We start from the raw sequence: 20,206 nt of genomic DNA, 5'->3' as shown, positions 1-20,206 counted from the left end.
CAGTTTGATTCTTACTGAAATAATAAAAATAACCACTAGTACCATTATTAATACTGTTTTAGGAGCCCTGGGTGATGCAACAAGAAATGAAACATAAACAAGAGATATAATACTAGAAAAACCAAAAGAATCACCTAGAAGTAATTAGCATCAATGGAAATTCAGTAATTATTGTCATATAGTAAATGCACACAAATGTCAATATATTCTAATATACCAGCAATAGCTAATAAGAAAAATATACAAAAGTTTAACCTTAAACTAAATAATAAATGTGAGTAGCTTGTACAAGGAAATAAATTTGTATTAAGCAATAATAAGTGAAGATTTAATAAAATGGAGATATGTATCACATTGTTTTAAAGGAAGACTGAATATTATACAGATACCAATCCCCAGAGCTTATTAAGGTCCCTATTTAAGAATAAATATACATTGCTAACAGTGTAAATTTGGTGAAATATTTCAAGAGCCTTCAAAATGTTCACACCCTTTCTCCAAGGACTAAATAGAGAAAAAACTTTATGCACAAGATGCTCAAACTTCTCCTTTAGAGCCTAGATAATAACTCTCATGTCTTCCTCAAGGTCTTCTCTTCCCAGTTTCATCAACCTTTACTCACCTGGTTTCCAGACTGTTCTCTATCCTGGTTGTTTCCCCCTAAATGGACTATAGTTTGTTAGTGCCTCTCTTTAAATGCCTCATTAAGTTTGGTTGTTTAGAGAAGAGTAAAATGAGAAAACCAAACTCAACTGAAGTGCTACCATCACAATTTAGAAATAACCCCATCACGCATTAAAAAGTGTTTACTGGTGGTTGCATATATGATTTGGTAGTGGCTGTTTCTTAGAAAGTATATCTCATGTGTTGGTATTAGGAGCATGCCTTACTGGGGTTTATTGGAGTTAATGGTTCCTCAGAGAACATAAATAAAAGAAGGTCTATCTATGGCTTCCTAAAGGTAATGGAGAGAAAAGTAAGTTGAAGAATGGTGGGAAATGTATGCTTGACTCAAAACAGCCAGGATAATTTCTACCCCCTTTACTAAGAAAATAAATTCTACTCTTACAAAGCCTTCTTCAGTTTAATGCAAAATTATTATACATTGTTTTTTCAAATGCAAAAACACAGCTATATACAAAGTGACAATTTGCTTGCACCAGGAGATACATAATAAGAAATAGAAAATGAGTTTGGAGAGCTTATATATATATATATAAACTTTGTATATAGTTGTGTTTTTGCTTTTCTAATATATATATATATTTTTTTTGCTTTTCTGACTTATTGCCCTCCCTAGAGTTAACCACCATTATATTTATTTATCTCTTTTTCATAGAAAAGTTATTCTTTTATTATTTTAAGGAGGTAATACATTGCCCAATATGCCAAAGCAGTAGGGAATTAGAGGCAGTGAATGGCCAGGTTTTTTTTAAGAGCCTCATGCTGCATCTCTGAGGTCCTATCTGCCCACAGCCCACGGCTGCTTACATAAAGACCGGGTCGGTGGACAAATGACCCAACTCGACACCCATTAACTGAGAAAGGGCTCAATCAGCAGAGGCACTGCCAGGGCCCAGCACGCCGGGTGGCAACCCCCGCTGCCACCACCAGCTTCCGAAGCTAGTGCCTTAGTGGCAGCCAGTGTGTCTAGCACTTGATTTTATTTCTGTGAGCCTAGAGTGGGCAGGACGTGAATAAATCCTGAGTCATAAATTAAGGTGAAAGACTTAGTAGTGTTAATACTCTGGGTGAGAAAAGACAACACTGTCTTGGAGGAGAGTGGGCTTGGAGTCTGGTGGAAGAAAGATGGAAACCCCCAGAAGGGCCTCGGCCTGCAGGCACTGCCTTGAGGCCATCAGAGGGGTTTTCATGGTTCATGATGGGGAGGGGCAAGGCAGGGTAGGCACTGGGGGGCTGCTTCATCTGGCACAGTTTAACTAGAGGTTCATTTTCCACTCATAATTGGTTTCCTAAGTCTAAGTCACCACACCTGGGGCCGAAGCAAGTCTTGCCTATGCACCAAGCATGGCCTTGGACCTCGAAGAAATGCATGGCTCAGTTCTCTAGTGTTGAAGGGGAGGGACTTTCAATTGAAGGAGATCTTTCTCCCCGTACCTCCAGCTCCTTTCCCTTGCAAATGACCGGGGTGGGAGGCAAGAGGCAAAGGTACCTCCTGGTGCAACCTCACCACAGTCTTCCAGAGAAATCATCTTTGTGGGACCCAAAGCCTAGCCTTGGCTTGGAGCAGACATTTCCACACATGGGAGGGTACCCTGTCTGGCAATTGAATGGAACCACCATTATATTTATTTCTAAAACATGGATCATTCCATGATGTTTAAAAACCACTTCAGTTTTTATCTCTGGTATTATGTATAGCTTCATTTTTTACAAAAGGCATGATTACATTTTTTGTAGTCTTGTTTTTGTATTACCAGTCACTACTACCTACTCACCTGGACATTGTAATTTCTCTTTAGGTATGATTTATACTACATTTCCCTCAGATACTATTTTTTTCTTTTTCTTTTCTTTTTTGAGACGGGAGTTTCACTCTTGTTGCCCAGGCTGGAGTGCAATGGTGTGACCTTGGCTCACTGCAACCTCTGCCTCCCAGGTTCAAGTGATTCTCCTGCCTCAGCCTCCTGAGTAGCTGGAATTACAGGCACCTGCCACCACGCCCGGCTAATTTTTTGTATTTTTAGTAGAGACAGGGTTTTGCTATGTTGGCCAGGCTAGTCTCGAACTTCTAACCTCAGGCAATCTGTCTGCCTCAGCCTCCCAAAGTGCTGGGATTGCAAGCGTGAGCCATAGCACCCAGCCTCCCTCAGATATTATTTGTATGTAAAATTATAATGTAACTATATTCATTTGAAAGAAACTATTTTCAGCTATTTCTAGCTATTTCCAAATTAAATGTAATCTTCAATTGTTTTCTTATGTCAAAACCAGCATGTATTTGTGTCTGCATTAATTAGAGAGAAGCAAAGGCAGATTTTATCTAGCTGGCGTGTGAAATGCTGAAGTCTTTGAAGCCCATGGGTATTAGTTAAGTGAGAAATGATCAACAGAACATGAGTTCCAAACTCAGGGATGTATGCAAGCCCACAGGTGAGGCCACTGTGGAAGGCAGGCAGATGCAAGACTGTGGGGCCTGATGGGAACAGCTGTCAGGCAGAGAGCAGATATCTCAGTGGAAACAGGCAGCCCCCTCGCGTGGCCAGGATCATCATCACGTTGAATCCAAGCATAGTTGTGCTAGATCATCTGATTTTTCCAAAAATCTGGGTTTTTATGTGAAATTTCCCAATTTTTAAATTACTTCATTTTAAAAATCACAAGTTAAAAGAAAAAAACCTACAGGCTGAAAATGGCCATCAGGCTGCCAAATTGCAAGCTTTTTTTTACTATACTTACCAGCAGCAAAAGAAACCTATTTTTCCCCATTTACTCTATGTTCTTGGGGAAGATGGTGAAAAAACTATCCCATTAATTCATCAGAGAAAAGGTATTATTGCATTTACAACATAAACTTAATGCATTCAGATTTACTCTGTATGTTTTCAGTTTACTCTGGGAAACCTACCACACTCCTCTTATACCACACCCTAACTGTGAAGTTGGTCTATCCAAGCAGGGTTCCCCATTTGTTGGGCCTCAGTCTTCTACACTATACTACAAAGCAAGAGGAATACAAAAGAAGTTTCAGCATCTTAATTTACAACCTCCAGTGGTTTAAACCAGAAAGTTCTTTTGGAGCAAAACTACTATGTCTTTTCTTCCTCAGAGTTGCTGAGAAATTATAATTAGAGGTTTTCCTGTTGTGTAAAGGAAAGGAATTCCTTTCCTTTCCTGTGTGTACAAGACTTCTGTTCTCAATAAATGTGCTTCCCTGTCCCATTTCTCTTTCTGCAGGTAATAGAGGGAAAGCTGGCTCCATTCTTGGGCAAGGTCATTAAATTTGCCACCTCACACGTGTACAGCTGCAGTCTTTGTAGCCAGAAGGGGTTCATCTGTGAAATCTGTAACAATGGAGAGATCCTCTACCCTTTTGAGGATATTTCAACAAGCAGGTACAGAATATCTTATTTCATAAAAGAACACCCAAATGTGTAATATGCCATTTTCTTTGGCCAAATCAGGCCAACTTTTAGTCAAGTAGTGTATCTCTGTCTCTTACCCTGGATCAGGTTTTCCTTGTTCTTGGAGAACATGTTTCCCCCTTTGGTTTCCTGTATTTATTTCCACCCCTTACCTCGCTACCTTTATCCAGAATGAGATAACAGAGCTGCAAAGAAACATTGCCTAACTCTGCCTTATTAGGTAACAGAGAGTGTTCAGGTTCAATTTTAGAATGAAGACTGGGGAGGAAGCATCTTAATAATTTTTTCAGAGCCAAATGATAGGCAATGGGAAACTGCAGTCTCAGAGGAAGGCCCAAACTGGACCGACCGCCAGGGGTAAAACTAGAGGACACTGGTGAGCAGCTGCTGCCTGGCCATGTGCTTTTCTCCGCAGATGCATGCACTGCAGTGGAGCGATGAAAGTTTTAGGATCCAAAGGAGAGAAAAATGGGAGTTTATGTGGGATGATTTTTCTAACCAAAGTAATATTTGGGCATCATCACATCCATGGATTGATGGATGATTCACAAAATGATACATATTACTTTTCCTTTCATCCCAAAAGCGTAATAGAAATCTACACGGTATGTGTGTGCACTGGCCTCTTTGGGCATGAATGTCATGGCTCATTTCCCACCCTGCAGGGCTCACTTATACTGTGGTTCAGAACAGAAGGTAAGGCATACAGCCAGGGAGAGTTGAAGCATGTAGGGTAGAGCTAAGATATTGAGAGTTGACTCAGCCCTTTTAGCCTCTCCTAAAACCTAAAGACTATTTGTAAACATGCGGGAATTTGGGTTGGCCCACACACAGAAAAACAGACACATAAACACATAGACATGCAGATACACACACACACACACACACACACACACACACACACACACACACACACACACACAGAGGCAGAGTTCAGCCTCCAGTTTCCTGAGCAGGTACTTAGCTTATAGAGCTTATATAGCCCAGAGATTAGCTACCTCTTAAAGGGAGGAAACTCCTCACAGCCTTTTTATGGCCAAGTGAGAGGCAGTGGGAAATTGCAGTCTCAGAGGAAGGCCCAAACTGGACGAACCACTGGGAGTAAAATTAGAAGACACTGCTGAACAGTAACTTAGCCCATAGCCTAGAGATTAGTTACCTCTAAAAAATGTACACCAGGCTGGGTGCGGTGGCTCACGCCTGTAATCCCAGCACTTTGGGAGGCCGAGGCAGGTGGATCACTGAGGTCAGGGGTTCAAGACCAGCCTGGCCAACATGGTGAAACCCCGTCTCTACTAAAGATACAAAAATTAGCCGGGCATGGTAGCAGGCACCTGTAACCCCAGCTACTCAGGAGGTTGAGGCAGGAGAATCACTTGAACCCAGGCGGTGGAGGCTATAGTAAGCTGAGATTACGCCACTGCACTCCAGCCTGGGCAACACAGCAAGACTCTGTCTAAAAAAAAAAAACAAAATGCACACCACATAAAACTTGTACACAAATGTTCATAGCAGCAGCATTCGTAATAGCTAAAAAGTAGAAACAACTTAATTGTCTATCAACTGATGAATGGATAAACAAAATGTAGTATATCCAGATAAATGGAAAATTATTCAGCTATAAAAAGAAAAAAAGTAGCCGGGCGTGGTGGCTCACACCTGTAATCCCAGCACTTTGGGAGGCCAAGGCAGGCAGATCACCTGAGATTGGGAGTTCGAGACCACCCTGACCAACATGGAGAAACCCCGTCTCTACTAAAAATACAAAATTAGCCGGGTATAGTGGTACATGCCTGTAATCCCAGCTGCTCGGGAGGCTGAGACAGGAGAATTGCTTGAACCAGGGAGGCGGAGGTTGCGGTGAGCCAGAGATTGCGCCATTGCCCTCCAGCCTGGGCAACAAAAGTGAAACTCCATCTCAAAAAAAAAAAAAAAAAAGAAAAAGAAAAAACGTACTGATACATGCTGCAACATGTATTAACATTGAAAACATGCTAACGGAAAGAAGCCAGACACAAAGCACATATTACATGATTCTATTTATATAAAATGTCCAAAATAGGCAAATCCATAAAGAGAATAGATTAGCGGTTGTCTAGGGCTTGGGGGAAGGAGGAAAGGGAGTTACTACTCATGGGTATAGGTTTCTTTTTGGGGTGATGAAAATGTTCTGGAATTAGATTGTGGTAATGGTTGCATGGTCTTATGACTACACTAAAAATTAGTGAATTGTATATACTTTAAAGGGGTGAGTTTTATGGTACGTGAATTATATTGCAATAAAATAGTTTAATGGCTAGGCACGGTGGCTCACATCTATAATCCCAGTGCTTTGGGAGGCGCAGGTGGGTGGATCACTTGAGGACAAGAGTTTGAGACCAGCCTGACCAACATGGCAAAACCTCGTCTCTACTAAAAATATAAAAATTAGCTGGACGTGGTGGCAAATTCCTGTAATCCCAGCTACTCAGGAGGCTGAGGCACAGGAATCGCTTGAACCCGGAAGCCAAGGTCGCAGTGAGCAGAGATCATGCCACTCACTGCACTCCAGGCTGGGCAACAGCAAAACTGTCTCAAAAAAAAAAAAAATCATGTTTAGTAAAGAATTTCTAAATGCTTCTAACTGAATAAATCATATGCTGGGCCACAAAACAAGTCTCAATTAATTTTGAGACTATACCAAGCGTGTTCTCTGGCACATGGAATTAAAGATTCACAGTAGAAAAAAATATGATTAGTTAGGTGTGGTGGCATGCACCTGTAATCCCAGCTACTTGGAAGGCTGAAGCAGGAGAATCACTTAAACCCAGGAGGCAGAGATTGCAGTGAGCCAAGATCACACCACTGCACTCCAGCCTGGGCAACAGAGTGAGACTTCATCTCAAAAAAAAAAATATATACACACACACACACACACACACACACACACACACACACATATCTATATGAAACCCCAAAATATTTGGAAATTAGACAATATATTTCTAAGCAACTCATGGGTCAAAGAAGGATGCACAAGGGCAATTTTAAAATATTTTGAAATGAATGAAAATGAAATATAAAATATATAAAAAAACAGCTAAAGTAGCAGTTAGAATGAAATTTATGACTATAAATACCTGTATCAGAAAAGAAGAAAGCTCTCAAATCAATATCCTAAAATTTCACCTTAAGAAACTAGATAAAAAAAAGAGCAAACTAAATCCAAAGCAAGCAGAAGGAAGGAAAGAATAAAGATTAGAGCCGATATCAATGAAATAGTAAACAGAAAAATCACAAGTTGAGTCTTTGAGAGATCAACAAAGTTAACAACCTTTTAGCTACCCTGATCAAGAAATTAAAAGAGAAGATACAAATTGCCAAAATCAGGAATGAAAAGAGGTACAGAAATTAAAAGAATTATAAAAGAGTATTATAAACAATGTTATACCAACAAATTAGACAAATTTAGATGAAATGGACAAATGACTAGAAAGACAAATTACCAAAACTGACTCAACGAGAAGTAGAAATATGAATAGACCTAAAACAAGTAAAGAAATTGAATTAGTAATTTTGAAATCTTCCCACAGAGAGGCCAGATGGCTTCACCAGTGAATGCTATGGAATATTGAAAGGAATAATACCAAACTTTCACTCACTACCTTTATCTCCAGAATGAGATATCCAGAGTGAGATATTCATAATGAGATACTAGAGTTGCAAAAAAAAAATTGCCAAACTCCACTGTATCAGATAACAAAGAGTGTCCAGATTCATTTTTAGAATGAAGATTGTAGAGAAAGAATCTGCAAGGATAAGGGTGGGTCAGTTCTCCAAAAAGATGTAACAATCCTTAATGTATGAATAGAGTCAAAATATGTAAGACAAAAACTGATGGAACTGAAAGAAGAGAGAGATAAGTTTACTGTTATAGTTAGAGCCTTCAACACTTCTCTGTCCATAACTGACAGGTCCAACAGACAGAAAATCCCTAAGCATATAGTTAAACTCAACAGCACTGTCAATTAACTGGATCTAATTGACATCTCTAGAATACTTCATTAAACAACAACAAAATATACATTCTTCTCAAGGTCGCATGGAACAGTTACCAAAAGAGACCACATTCTGGGCCATTAAAAAAAATCTGAACAAATTTAAAAGAGTAGAAATCATGCAAAGTATGATTCTCAAACCATAATGAAATTAAACTAGAAATCAATAACAAAGATACCTGGAAAATCCCAAAATATTTGGACATTAAACAAAATACCTTGAAATAACACAAGTTGATAACATATCCACACAAAAGCACGCATATGGATGTTTATGGCAGCTTTATTCATAATCACTAAAAACTGGAAGCAGCCAAGATGTCCTTCAGTACCTGAAGGCATAAACTGTGGCATATCCATACAACGGAATATTATTCAGCCACAAAAGAAGTGAGCTGTCAGGCCACAAAGAGACATGGAGGAAACCTAAACGTGTATCACAAGTGAGCAAAGCCATTCTGAGAAGGCTACGTACTATACGATTCCAACTATATGACATTTCGGAAAAGGCAAAACTATACAGACAGTAAAAAGATGAGTTACAGGGATTTGGTGGCTGGGAAGGGATGCCTAGGTGAAGCACAGGAGATTTGTAGGACAGTGAAACTATTCTGTATGATGCTTCAGTGGTGTATACATGACATTATACATTTGTCAGAATCTATGGTTTCATACATCACAGAGTGAGCCTTAACTCAAATGGAGGACTTTAGTTAATAATGATATATCGATATTGGTTCACTAATTTTGTAACAAATGTATCACAGGATTGCAAAATATTGTTAATAAAGAAAACACAACAGGTGGTGGTGGGGTGGAATATGGGAACTCTCTGCCCAATTTTTCTCTTAATCTAAAACTATTCTAAAAAATAGTCTATTATTAATAAAAATTTAAAAATTGTTCAACTGAACAGTTGACTCTAAGATCAAAGATGAACAATTTTTATAAACCTTACTGGAACAATTTTAGATTAACAGAGAAATCACAGAAATAGTACAGAGTTCCCATATACCACACACTCAGTTTCCCCTATTAATATTTTACGTTAGTATAGTACATTTGTTACAATTAATGAACCAATATTGATATATTATTAGTAACTAAAGTCCACAGTTTTTTCAGATTTCCTTAGTTTTCACCTAATATCCTTCTTCTGTTCCCGGATACCATATTATATTTAGTTGTCACACCTCCCTAGGCTCCTCTTGGGTGTGACAGTTTCTCAGACCTTGTTTTTGATGACCTTGACAGTTTTGAGAAGTACTGGTCAGTATTTTATAGAATATCTCTGTTGGATAGGCCTGATGTTTTTCTTATGTGTGGAGTCGGTTTTATGGGTTTGGGGAGGAAGGCCATAGAGGTAGTGCCATTTTCATCACATCATATCAAGGGAACATACGATCAACATGACATCACTGTAGTGTTTGTGTCAGGTTGCTCCACCATGAAATTCCTCTTCCTCCCCCTCTTTCCATGCTGTTCCTTTTGGAAGGAAGTCACTATGTGTAGCCCACACTTAAGGAGTGGGGAGCTATGTTCCACCCTCTTGGGAGCCAAGTATGGATACAGTTATTTAGAATCCTTCCACATGGGAGATCTGTCTCTTCCTCACTTATTTTTTTTAGTTGTTTATTTATATCAGTATGGACTTGTGCATAGTTCATTTGTACTTTGGGTTACAGCCCAGTACTATATTTTATTGTTCAGACTGTCCCAGCTTTGGCCATTCAAGCTCTCAGTAGGCTCCTTTGTTCCCTTGACATACCCCACCCATTATGGGATTTTTGCTGGGGGGAGTTGTTTTTGGTTTGGTTTGGTTTGGTTTTCAGCATTTCCTTACTTTCCAGCACTACCAGATGCACCAGGATCGTCTTACTTATTTCCTGCCCTAATCCTAGGAACAGACATGTGTCCAGGGAGCCTTGGTTTCTTTTGTTAAAGAATAACATTAGAAACTGAGATCTAGGCACTGGGTTTTGCATACATTTTTAAAGCCCTCCGTTCCTGGACTTGTGCCTTGACTGGGGCAGAGTGCTGCCCTCTGACTGTATATCAGAATCTTTTGTGAGACTTGGCTTTTAAAACTCCAGAATCTGTATCTTCAAGGACTCCATATGATTATGAATCACCCCAGAAAAAAGAATCACTCCTCTAAGGTAGCTGTGGTCATAGTTAAGATGCTGGATTCTCACCAAAATAACCACATTAGCATATCTCTGAGTTCATAGGGGTCTTTACTCAGTAGTAAAAACTGTGGAGAATCCTCCTTCTTCCTTGATCAGATGCAGTTCTCTAAGCTTGTACAAATGTCTGAGTCAGAAGGAATATTGACCAGCTTTCCTGGAATTCCAGGTTAACACTTTTCAGAAACCTGTTGAGCTTTCTCTTGGTGTTCAGTTTCCAGTTAAACACCAAGAGTGGTTTATACAACCCTGTGAAAAGGCAAAGAGAAACACTAATAAAAAATTTATTAAAGGAAAATTTTAGTCAGAAATACAGAGTTGCTGATTCAAAACATGTCTATAAAAATGTTTTAAATAAATAAATGTGATAAATAAAAATAAATTTGAATAGTAAAGTAAAGTTTAAAATCTCAGTGTAACTGAAATCTTTATGGATTAAGTAATACAATGTCTGGGATTTGCTTCAGGATAATCTGATGATGGGGTAGGGGGATGATACAGATGAAAGAAATTTCCATGTATTAATAATTGTGGCAGCTAGGTGATAGGTACACAGGGATTTGTTATATATTCTCTCTACTTTTGCATATGTTTGAAATAAAACCTGTATGTAAAAATTTTAGAAATAAGGTATTTAGTGAATTTGTTACCACATACCCTTGACCATTCTGCTAAATTTGGCATTTTTATGTCCTCAGAAATATACCTAATATCCTTTCAGGTCCAAGTATCACTTGAATAGCATAATTACAGTTCAGTTAAAAAAAAAATTCAGGGCTGGGCGTGGTGGCTCATGCCTGTAATCCCAGCACTTCGGGAGGCCTAGGCAGGATCACTTGGATCACTTGAGGTCAGGAGTTTGAGACCAACCTGGCCAACATGGTGAAACCCCGTCTCTAATAAAAATACAAAAATTAGCTGGGCATGGTGGCACACACCTGTAATCCCAGCTACTCAGAAGGCTGAGCCATGAGAATCGCTCAAACTCAGCAGGCGGAGGCTGCAGTGAACCAAGATCGTGCCACTGCACTCCAGCCTGGGCAACAGAGTAAGACTTTGTCAAAAAAAAAATAATAATAATAGCAAGCATGAGAACAATTTGTACTTGTTTGTTTGTTTGTTTGGCGACTTGCTAGGTCGCCAAGGCTGGAGTGCAGTGGCATGATCTCGGCTCACTGCAACCTCCACCTCCTGGGTTCAAGTGATTCTCCTGCCTCAGCCTCCTGAGTAGCTGGGATTACAGGCACCCGCCACCACACCTGGCTAATTTTTGTATTTTTAGTAGAGACAGAGTTTCACCATGTTGGCCAGGCTGGTCTGGAACTCCTAACCTTTGGTGATCCACCCACCTCAGCCTCCCAAAGTGCTGGGATTATAGGTGTGAGCCACCACACCGGGCCCTGTACTTTTAATAAATGATTTTTTTTTTTTTTTGAGACGAAGTTTCACTCTTGTTGCCCAGGCTGGAGTGCAATGGCGTGATCTCAGCTCACTGCAACCTCTGCCTCCCAGGTTCAAGCGATTCTCCTGCCTCAGCCTCCCAAGTAGCTGGGATTACAAGCATGTGCCAAGACACTCGGCTAATTTTGTATTTTTAGTAGAGACGGGGTTTCACCATGTTGGTCAGGCTGGTCTTGAACTCCTGGTGATCCACCCGCCTTGGCCTCCCAAAGTGCTAGGATTACAAACATGATCCTGACCCTAATAAATAATCTATTGAGCATACCATGTGTGTGCATTGGGCTAGGTTCTGGAGACAACAGTGAACACAGCATGCTACTTGCTCACAAATAGTTGAGTTTATTAGGGACAGACAGGCCAGTAGGCAGTTCTATGAAAGCGTGGGAGGAGCACAGTAGCGGGGTGGACCTGGAGCTCCCAGAAGGGCTCCATCATCCACAGAAGTGATGTGCATGTTGAGTGAGAAAGAAGTTCCACAGTTTCTAAAAGTATTAGGGAGCTCTGTGTTTTTTAGGTTTGGGGTTTTTTTTTTCTTTTTTTCTTTTTAAATTTTAGATTCGGAGACCCATATGCAGATTTATTACAAGGATATGTGGCCTGATGCTGAGGTTTGGGTTTTCATTGATCCCATCACCTATATAGTGAACAGGGTACCCAAAGGAAGTTTTTCAGCCTTTCCCTGCCTCCCTCCCCTCTTTTGAGTACCCAGTGTCTGTTGTTCCCTCTGTATGAGGGAACTCTGTGTTGAACTTGAGTCACTGATTTATGTTCTTCAGTACTAGAATATACTCAGTTTTAACGTTTTCATTTGATTATGACTATATAGCAAACATTCATCAACTCCTTCAGGCTTTCTTTTCCTCATTAAATTAATCATTATGCAGGAGGAAGTTTCATGACTATGTAATTTGAAAATATACCCCTAGTATTAATTTTTAGGATCCCACCTCTGACAGATATAGAGAAGGTGCTGGGATTGAAAGGGAATGGCACTAACATTTATTAGTACTAGTGCCAGCAACTTACATATCTTATCTAATTTTTCTGCCAGTCCTCTGAGGAAATAGTGTAACTTCCATTTTAATAATGAAGAAACCTAGGTTCAGAGAAGGCAATTAACGTGGCCCTAGAGATAAGGCCAAAACCTGAATCCAAATACATCTGACTCCAAAATCCATGTTTTTTCCATTATATCTTACTGCTACTTCTGCACCTGTAGTCTTCAAAACATTTTGCCATATACCCCCTAAAATCAATTTGAAAAAATTGTGTACCTCTGTCATTAAGTCTTCTCCAAAACTGCTATTTTGAAATGTCATTTTATTTGCTGCCTTGGGAGTCTTTACACTCGGAGCAATAAGCCATGACTAGATTGGTTTGGGGGAAAGATATGCCTTTCTTCTGTAAAATGGCCAAAGTACTGTTGTGGAGACAACAACAGAGCTTCCACCTCCTGTGCATCCCTTGGCGGGTCAGGTTCAGCAAGGGGTACCTGTGAAGCTGAGGATGTGCCTAAATTAGACTTCCATAGGCAAACCCCTGTTTGTTGCACCAAAGCAACCTCCCCTCCATTCAGAAGATAATGCTGACAGTTTTACCCTGAGATATTCTTTCTTCTCAAACACCTTTTTTTTTTTTTTTTTTTTTTTTGAGATGGAGTTTCACTCTTGTTGGCCAGGCTGGGGTGCAATGGCGCGACCTCAGCTCACTGCAACCTCTGCCTCCTGGGTTCAAGCGATTCTCCTGTCTCAGCCTCCGGTGTATCTGGGATTACAGGCACCCACCACCATGCCCCACTAGTTTTTTTGTGTTTTTAGTAGAGACTGGGTTTCATCATGTTGGCCAGGCTGGTGTCAAACTCCTAACCTCAGGTGATCCTCCCCCGCCTCGGCCTCCCAGAGTGCTGGGATTACAGGCGTGAGCCACTGCACCCAGCCTCAAACACAAATTAAATACATACCTCTCTTTAACCTAAATAGAAAAACCGTAAAGCCCAGATTGCAAGATTTTTAAATACAATAAGAATATCCTGAATTATAAAACTGCTTTGCTAAAGCCTAATCCAGGATTTATCCTCCTAGAGGACTACAAGGAAAGCACAGCCTTGGGAGAGATAAACATTTTGACAAAACAATGATAAAATTCCACATCCTAAAAAAACAGAAATGACGAAACATGCCCTCCTTGATTGAGAATAAGAAGGAAGGGCTCTAACCTTTTTTTTTTTTTTTTTTTTTGAGACGGAGTCTCTCTCTCCGTCACCAGGCTGGAGTGCAGTGGCGCGATGTCGGCTCACTGCAACCTCCGCTTCCCAGGTTCAAACAATTATCCTGCCTCAGCCTCCCTAGTAGCTGGGATTACAGGTGCGTGCCACGACGCCCAGCTAATTTTTGTATTTTTAGTAGAGATGGGGTTTCATCGTGTTGGTCAGGCTGGTCTCAATCTTGTGACCTCGTGGTCCACCCGCCTTGGCCTCCCAAAGTGCTGGGATTACAGGCGTGAGCCACTGTGCCTGGCCAGGAAGGGCTCTAACTTTTAAGAATTACAAATCAGAAGATTAGGCTGACACTGCTCTATGATTTAAGGGAAAACAATGAATATAAAAGCAAAAAAGTCACATAAATCCACAAAATGACCCAGGACTTAGATTTTTTTTTAATCCTTAAATTGCCTCCTATGCAGCTTTCTTTCTGACATTTTTACACATCCCTAATCTTCTCTCGTTATTAAGATCCCTTTCCTAATGCTGCTAAGGAGACAATCCTGCTTTCTACATTTCTGCAGAGATGCTATTTCTGAACCTTGAAATGCTTCGAGATTACAAGTACATAAACACTTCATCTTAAAAACCCTCAGCATGCATTTTTAACATGGGACTTAGAAAATAAACCAACTGTGATAAATCAGTTCCATCATTTCTGTCCTGTCCATTTGGCTTTCGTGAGTTTTTCATGTGACATGTAAGTCATCCTCCTAGGTTTTTCACTATGAAGAACATTGTACTTAAAGACTTTGTGACCTTTATGCCACTTGGCACTGTATTTAAATGTGAGTATTCTATGAGAAGATTCTACTGAAAACTGGTGTTGGTATCCTCCATCTGGTAGGCATTTGCTATGGTTTGAATATGGTGTGTCCCCAGAAAATCTTGCTGAAGCTTGGTCCCCAGCGTAGAGGTGTAGGGAGGTGGTGCCTTTAAGAGGTGATGAGGTCGTTAAAATGGATTAATCTCCTTCTGACAGGAATGGATGAGTTCTGGAGGGATTGGGTTAGTTTGGTGATAGGGGGTTGCTAGAAAGCGAGTTGCCTCCTGTGTTTGGTCCTTTTCCACATGCTTGCTTCCCCTTCCACTTCCCTGCCATTTGTGACGCAGCTCGAGGCATCACCAAAAGCTGAGCAGATGCCAGTGCCATGTTTCCTAGACCTCCCAGCCTCCAGAATCAGGAGCCAAATAAACTTTTAAAAAAATGTTTCCCTGTCTCAGGTATTCTGTTTTACCAACACGAAATGGACTAAGCGTTACATAAATACTTACTGTTTGGTTTAAGCTTGCCTAAGTATATATGCATTCATAAGAACACTGACAACATTTTTTAAATAAACTAATTAGTTAAGGGAATATAAAACACCTCCAAAGATAGAGGAGCATAACACAAGTCTGAGGTAACACTAAAGCTTTCTATATAAGGTTGAAGCAATTGACATACCATTTAAGGTGTTTCACTGATGACAGCATAAGCCTGCCCTGGTCAGCAACATTCACTAACACCAGGGAAGGCATCAGAGGAGGTGTTCTTCCTTTGTTAGTAGGGCATCGGCAGCTCTGTGGTTACTCTTCTAAAAAGGGTTGTTTTTTAAAGCACTGGAATTCAGAGGTGTAGGCTGGACATTGCTTGCCAGTTTTTCTTTGTGCACAAGTAGTTGACCACTCCATCCCCTCTTCTAAGAAATAATGGTGGCACACAGGGCATTGAACTTATTAACACCAAAATCTTACCTGCTTACCACTTGAGTTAGCATACTCTGCTACTACATCTAGTCTGTACACTTTTTTTTTTTGAGACAGTCTCGCTCTGTGGCCCAGGCTGGAGTGCAGTGGCAGGATCTCGGCTCACTGCAACCTCCACCTCCCGGGTTCAAGCGATTCTCCAGCTTTAGCCCCCTGAGTAGCTGGGATTACAAGTGTGCACCACCATGCCCGGCTAGTTTTTGTATTTTTAGTACAGATGGGGTTTCGCCATGTTGGCCAGGCTGGTCTCGAACTCCTGGCCTCCAGTGATCCGCCCGCCTCGGCCTCCAAAAGTGCCAAGATTACAGGCATGAGCCACCACGCCCAGCCAGTCTGCACACATTTAAAGAATATTTTCTACATCAGTCTTGAGAACAAACATCAGCCTCATGGAAAAGTGCATAGCAGATGAGCTTCTAACAGGGTTTATCCGCTTTTTCATTTTTAAAATCTATTTTGTCAGGTAATCTTACCAAAAAAGGCAGCCTCCCATGAAACTTAGTCCAAGCCCCATTGCTTTCATCCATCTGGCCGGACTTCAGAAATGTCCAGCTTGTCCTGAAGAACATGGAGACTCCTCCCAACACGCTCAACGTTTTGAATTGGTCTTTGTCATTTTGCGTTTCACTGCAATCCATACCACCCTGCTCCTGAGGACCTAAACTTGTTGGGGCATGGACTTTGTTCTTTGCCTTGGCACTTTCTTCCCTTCTTTAAGCCTCATGTACACATGAAGCTTCAAATGCCTAATTGTACTCAAACCATATAAAGGCTTGTTTAAAAAGAAGGAACCTGCTTTATTATAAAATGTGGAACTACTTCTTCCCATAGATGGTGCTGAGATGCCTAATTGTTCTCAGCACAGCTTGAACAATCAGTCCATCAAGAGCTGTGTTTTCTGTTGCCCTGTTGCCCTTAGATTTGCCCCTGGGCACAGTGCATGGAGAAGGCTCCATGGAGGCTGAATGTGGAGATGATTTTGCCTAAAGTTGTCACTTACTTACCTGCCAAAAAAACCATCAAGCCCCAGATGTGTCAGTAACCTTACAAAGACTCTTTCATTTTTCTGAGGAACCAGCTGTAGTTTGTCACTTTTTGAAAGAGACTTTCATGTTAAGTGTTTAGGCAAAATTTTTTGGTGGGGAAGGGGTGGGGATGGAGGCAGGTGGAACAAAACTCCAGAGGAGAAGGGGAGAGAAGCACTGCCCAGAAGCTGGGCTTTCCCCGTGGCTTCCTATTTGCTCGGCCTTTGTTTTTGTGAGTCCTTGCACAAACAGACTAAATACCTGGATTATGCCCTCATCTGGACTCAAATACACATACATTACATACCCTTTTCTCCCTAATCAGCCTGACACATTCCTTTGTTGGTAAATGGTTCCAAAACAAACACTGTCAGGGCACCTAATTAGCAGGTTTGTGGGCTGCGCTTGGCAGTCTTGTTACATCCTGTTCAACAATAGAGAACAACAGCCTTGGCTAGGCCGGTCTTCAGGGAGGGAGTAGCTTCCCCCAATGTATATGCCATTTTTTAATGATATTTCCTTTCTGTGGCTTTTCTTGGGAAGCAGCCACTCAGTGAGTATTGCAGTGAGGTGTGGGATCCTAGAAGCAGCTAAAGGAAACTTCTGCTCCTCTGTAGAGTACCTTTTCAGAGGAGCTGTTTGTTTCTAATCGTTCTTTTCTTTCTCTGGTGTTGAAGAGGAACATTTTGAGGAACTTTCTCAGTGGTTCTCTAATACCAATGGTGGAGGACCAGACTCTCGCTTGTGTTTTAGAATTATAAACTAATAGAGATAGAAGGGACTGTGGGGACCCTTTAGACATTTTGGGGGTGGGAAACTTGAAGCCCAGACAGCTCACATGTCGTGTGCATGGCAGAGGCAGGGTGATGACTCCCCAGATGGAATTTGACCCTTCTTCAGCTCTGACTGCCCACTCTTAAATGTGTTTATTGTGTCAATGACAGTTTTCTTTAATGAAAACTCTTCAGCACAATGCTAGTTTTTCTGGATTTTAAACTTTAGTCAAAGAGTAACTTGGTAAATAACATTTCACCTTGGCCTGGTGGCTTCTGTATTCACATGTCAAAATGTTTCAGAATGTCTGCTAACATAACTGAGACTTCTGTGAAAACCTCAGGGCTGACCTGACCCTTTATGCCATTAAGCCACTTGATAAATATGGTGCATTTATAAACACAGTCCTAGCTGCTGAAGCCACCATTGTGTTTTGAGGCCATTTGGTCACTTGAATAGATGGCTGTCACCTAGACACATTTCTTACCAAGCTTCTAGTTAGGTATCTGGTTAATATTGTATTGATCATCTTAGCTTTAAGCATTTCAGACAGCTTAATTTTTTGCTGTTTAAAGAGGAATTGTTCATCGTTTAACTCATTTTAACTTTCTAACTATAAAACTAATTGATATTTATTATAGAAAATTTGAAAAGTACAGAAAATTAAAGAAAATATTCTCCATTATTTCTCCATTTTTCTACACATATGTATTTTTAAATAGTTAGAATCATATTGAATATATAATTTTATATCCAGCATTTTTTATCACATTGTATCAGAACCAGAAAAATAGTCACATTTAATCTATAAACTTATATTAATGGGTACTTTTAAAGAAAAAAAAAATTTTTTTTTTTTTGAGACAGGATCTGGCTCTGTCATCCAGGCTGGAGTGCAGTGGCACCATCTTGGCTTTCTGCAACCTCTGCCTCCCAGGCTCAAACGATCCTCTCACCTCAGCCTGCCGAGTAGCTGGGACTACAGGTGCTCTCCACCACGCCCAGATAATTTTTGTATTTTTTTTTGTAGAGATGGGGTTTCACCATGTTGCCCAGGCTGGAGGAAAAAAATTTTAATTGGCTCTAAAATCATTAAGATCCATCGAATAAACACAGGCAGGCCAGTCCATAAAAAGATCACTGGGCCAGGCGCAGTGGTTCACGCCTGTAATCCCAGCACTTTGGGAGGCCAAGCCTGGTGGATCATGAGGTCAGGAGTTCAAGACCAGCCTGGCCAATATGGTGAAACCCCATCTCTACTAAAAATACAAAAATTAGCCGGGTGTGGTGGCGGGCGCCTGTAATCCCAGCTACTTGAGAGGCTGAGGCAGAGAACTGCTTAAACCCAGGAGGCGGAAGTTGCAGTGAGCTGAGATTGCACCACTGCACTCCAGCCTGGGCGACAGAGCAAGACCCCATCTCAAAAACAAAAAACAAAAAGATCACTGGACTAGGAACAAAGAAGTCTCGATGTCGTTCCTAGCTACTAATTTGTGTGACCTTTGACAAGCCACCACTCTGCTGGACCTTCATACCAGGCATATGGCACTGTTTTAAGCTTTTATTGACAAAAGGAGTAAGATCTTTGCTTCTGCTCCATTGCTCAGCATTTTGTATTTGTGTTTGATAGTTTGTCATGATGTTTTCCGTAAAGTTGGCTGATTTTTATTCTGTTTACCCAAAGGGATTTAGATACAAATCCAAATTGCAGTTCAGTCCACCGTTTTGAAATAATGTAAGCTCCATGAGGGAATAGACTTTTTATATTTTGCTCACTGCTCCATCTAAGACAACACTTAGTAACTGCTCCATAAATAATTCATGAATGAATAGAGAGTTTGCTTTATTCTGTAATTTCAACTATAATCTGTAGTTATTAACATATTTTCTTTTAAATGGCTTTTAAAGTGATTTCAGGAAATTCATTATTTAAGTAGGCATTACCGAGATATGTGACTTTATTGAGTGATGGCTTACATCCTTATCATATGTTGGAGATGGATGTGTTTTACTGGGTCAGTGGAGACTTTAATGTCAGGAGAGAGATGATGTAAAAAATGTGAGCTTTGCTAAGCTACTCAGGTAATTTCATTTTCAAAACATCTTTTAGGTCGGTTTTTAGCATGTGCTTTTTCTTCCCCATGGGACTGTAAATAAGTAACCTGAACACACAATAGGGAAGAGAAGGAGTATTTACCTTTCCAAACAAAATGTGTTGACTTTTCAGACTGAGCAGTATGTTCTGAAATGAACTGTTTTATGCTTTAGAATTACAAAGGGTACAATAGTATCTTGGTTTTGTCAATACATGTTTGTTATTTTTAAGACTTCTTTCATACAACTAATTATAGGAGTACAGATAGTAATACCTCATTAAATTTGTCTTTTAAAAAATCTTTTTTAAGTATCTAATGTATATTATCACACTTTTACTAAGCCCCTGCAGAATTCTGAATATTTAAACCACTTAACAATGCTACCTCAGGAAACATCTTCACAACTATCTACAGCTACCATTAATAATTATCATTTCAGCTCCTGATGCTTTCAGAGCACTTAAAATAGAGAGAAAGGTGCAGCCCATGTTAACCCTCTGTACAAAATTATA

The 20,206-nt window shown here is 40.4% G+C and overlaps 1 protein-coding gene across 5 annotated transcripts in view, besides 3 other annotated features; it reads left to right on the top strand.

Annotated features, from left to right (window-relative positions):
• Window positions 1-20,206, top strand: part of PLEKHM3 (pleckstrin homology domain containing M3) — a 204,240-nt gene that overhangs the window by 160,347 nt on the left and 23,687 nt on the right. For 4 of the 5 annotated variants that reach the window (XM_017004073.2, NM_001080475.3, XM_011511160.3 and 1 more), the window contains one exon: window positions 3,919-4,076. The exons of the other annotated variant lie outside the window; for it this stretch is intronic. In XM_017004073.2, coding sequence (XP_016859562.1) covers window positions 3,919-4,076 — 158 coding nt within the window. The remainder of the gene's footprint in view (window positions 1-3,918; window positions 4,077-20,206) is intronic. 5 annotated transcript variants of the gene reach the window in all.
• Window positions 15,509-16,008: an enhancer, noted in NCBI's record as "H3K4me1 hESC enhancer chr2:208713897-208714396 (GRCh37/hg19 assembly coordinates)". NCBI's record gives its function as "activates a minimal SCP1, AML or CMV promoter by ChIP-STARR-seq in naive H9 embryonic stem cells {active_cell/tissue: H9 hESC(naive)}" and the evidence as "EXISTENCE:reporter gene assay evidence [ECO:0000049][PMID:30033119]".
• Window positions 19,682-19,826: an enhancer, noted in NCBI's record as "145 bp enhancer 152 fragment used in the MPRA reporter construct; PK_construct_105". NCBI's record gives its function as "activates an SV40 promoter by MPRA in HepG2 cells {active_cell/tissue: HepG2}" and the evidence as "EXISTENCE:reporter gene assay evidence [ECO:0000049][PMID:23512712]".
• Window positions 19,748-19,761: a transcriptional cis regulatory region, noted in NCBI's record as "HNF1 motif; enhancer activity is reduced when this motif is scrambled". NCBI's record gives its function as "necessary for full MPRA enhancer 152 activity {active_cell/tissue: HepG2}" and the evidence as "EXISTENCE:site-directed mutagenesis evidence [ECO:0005528][PMID:23512712]".

The sequence above is a fragment of the Homo sapiens genome, chromosome 2 (genome assembly GCF_000001405.40).
Source record: "Homo sapiens chromosome 2, GRCh38.p14 Primary Assembly".
NCBI classification, from domain to species: Eukaryota; Metazoa; Chordata; class Mammalia; order Primates; family Hominidae; genus Homo; species Homo sapiens.
This window is presented reverse-complemented; position numbering and strand designations above follow the sequence as displayed.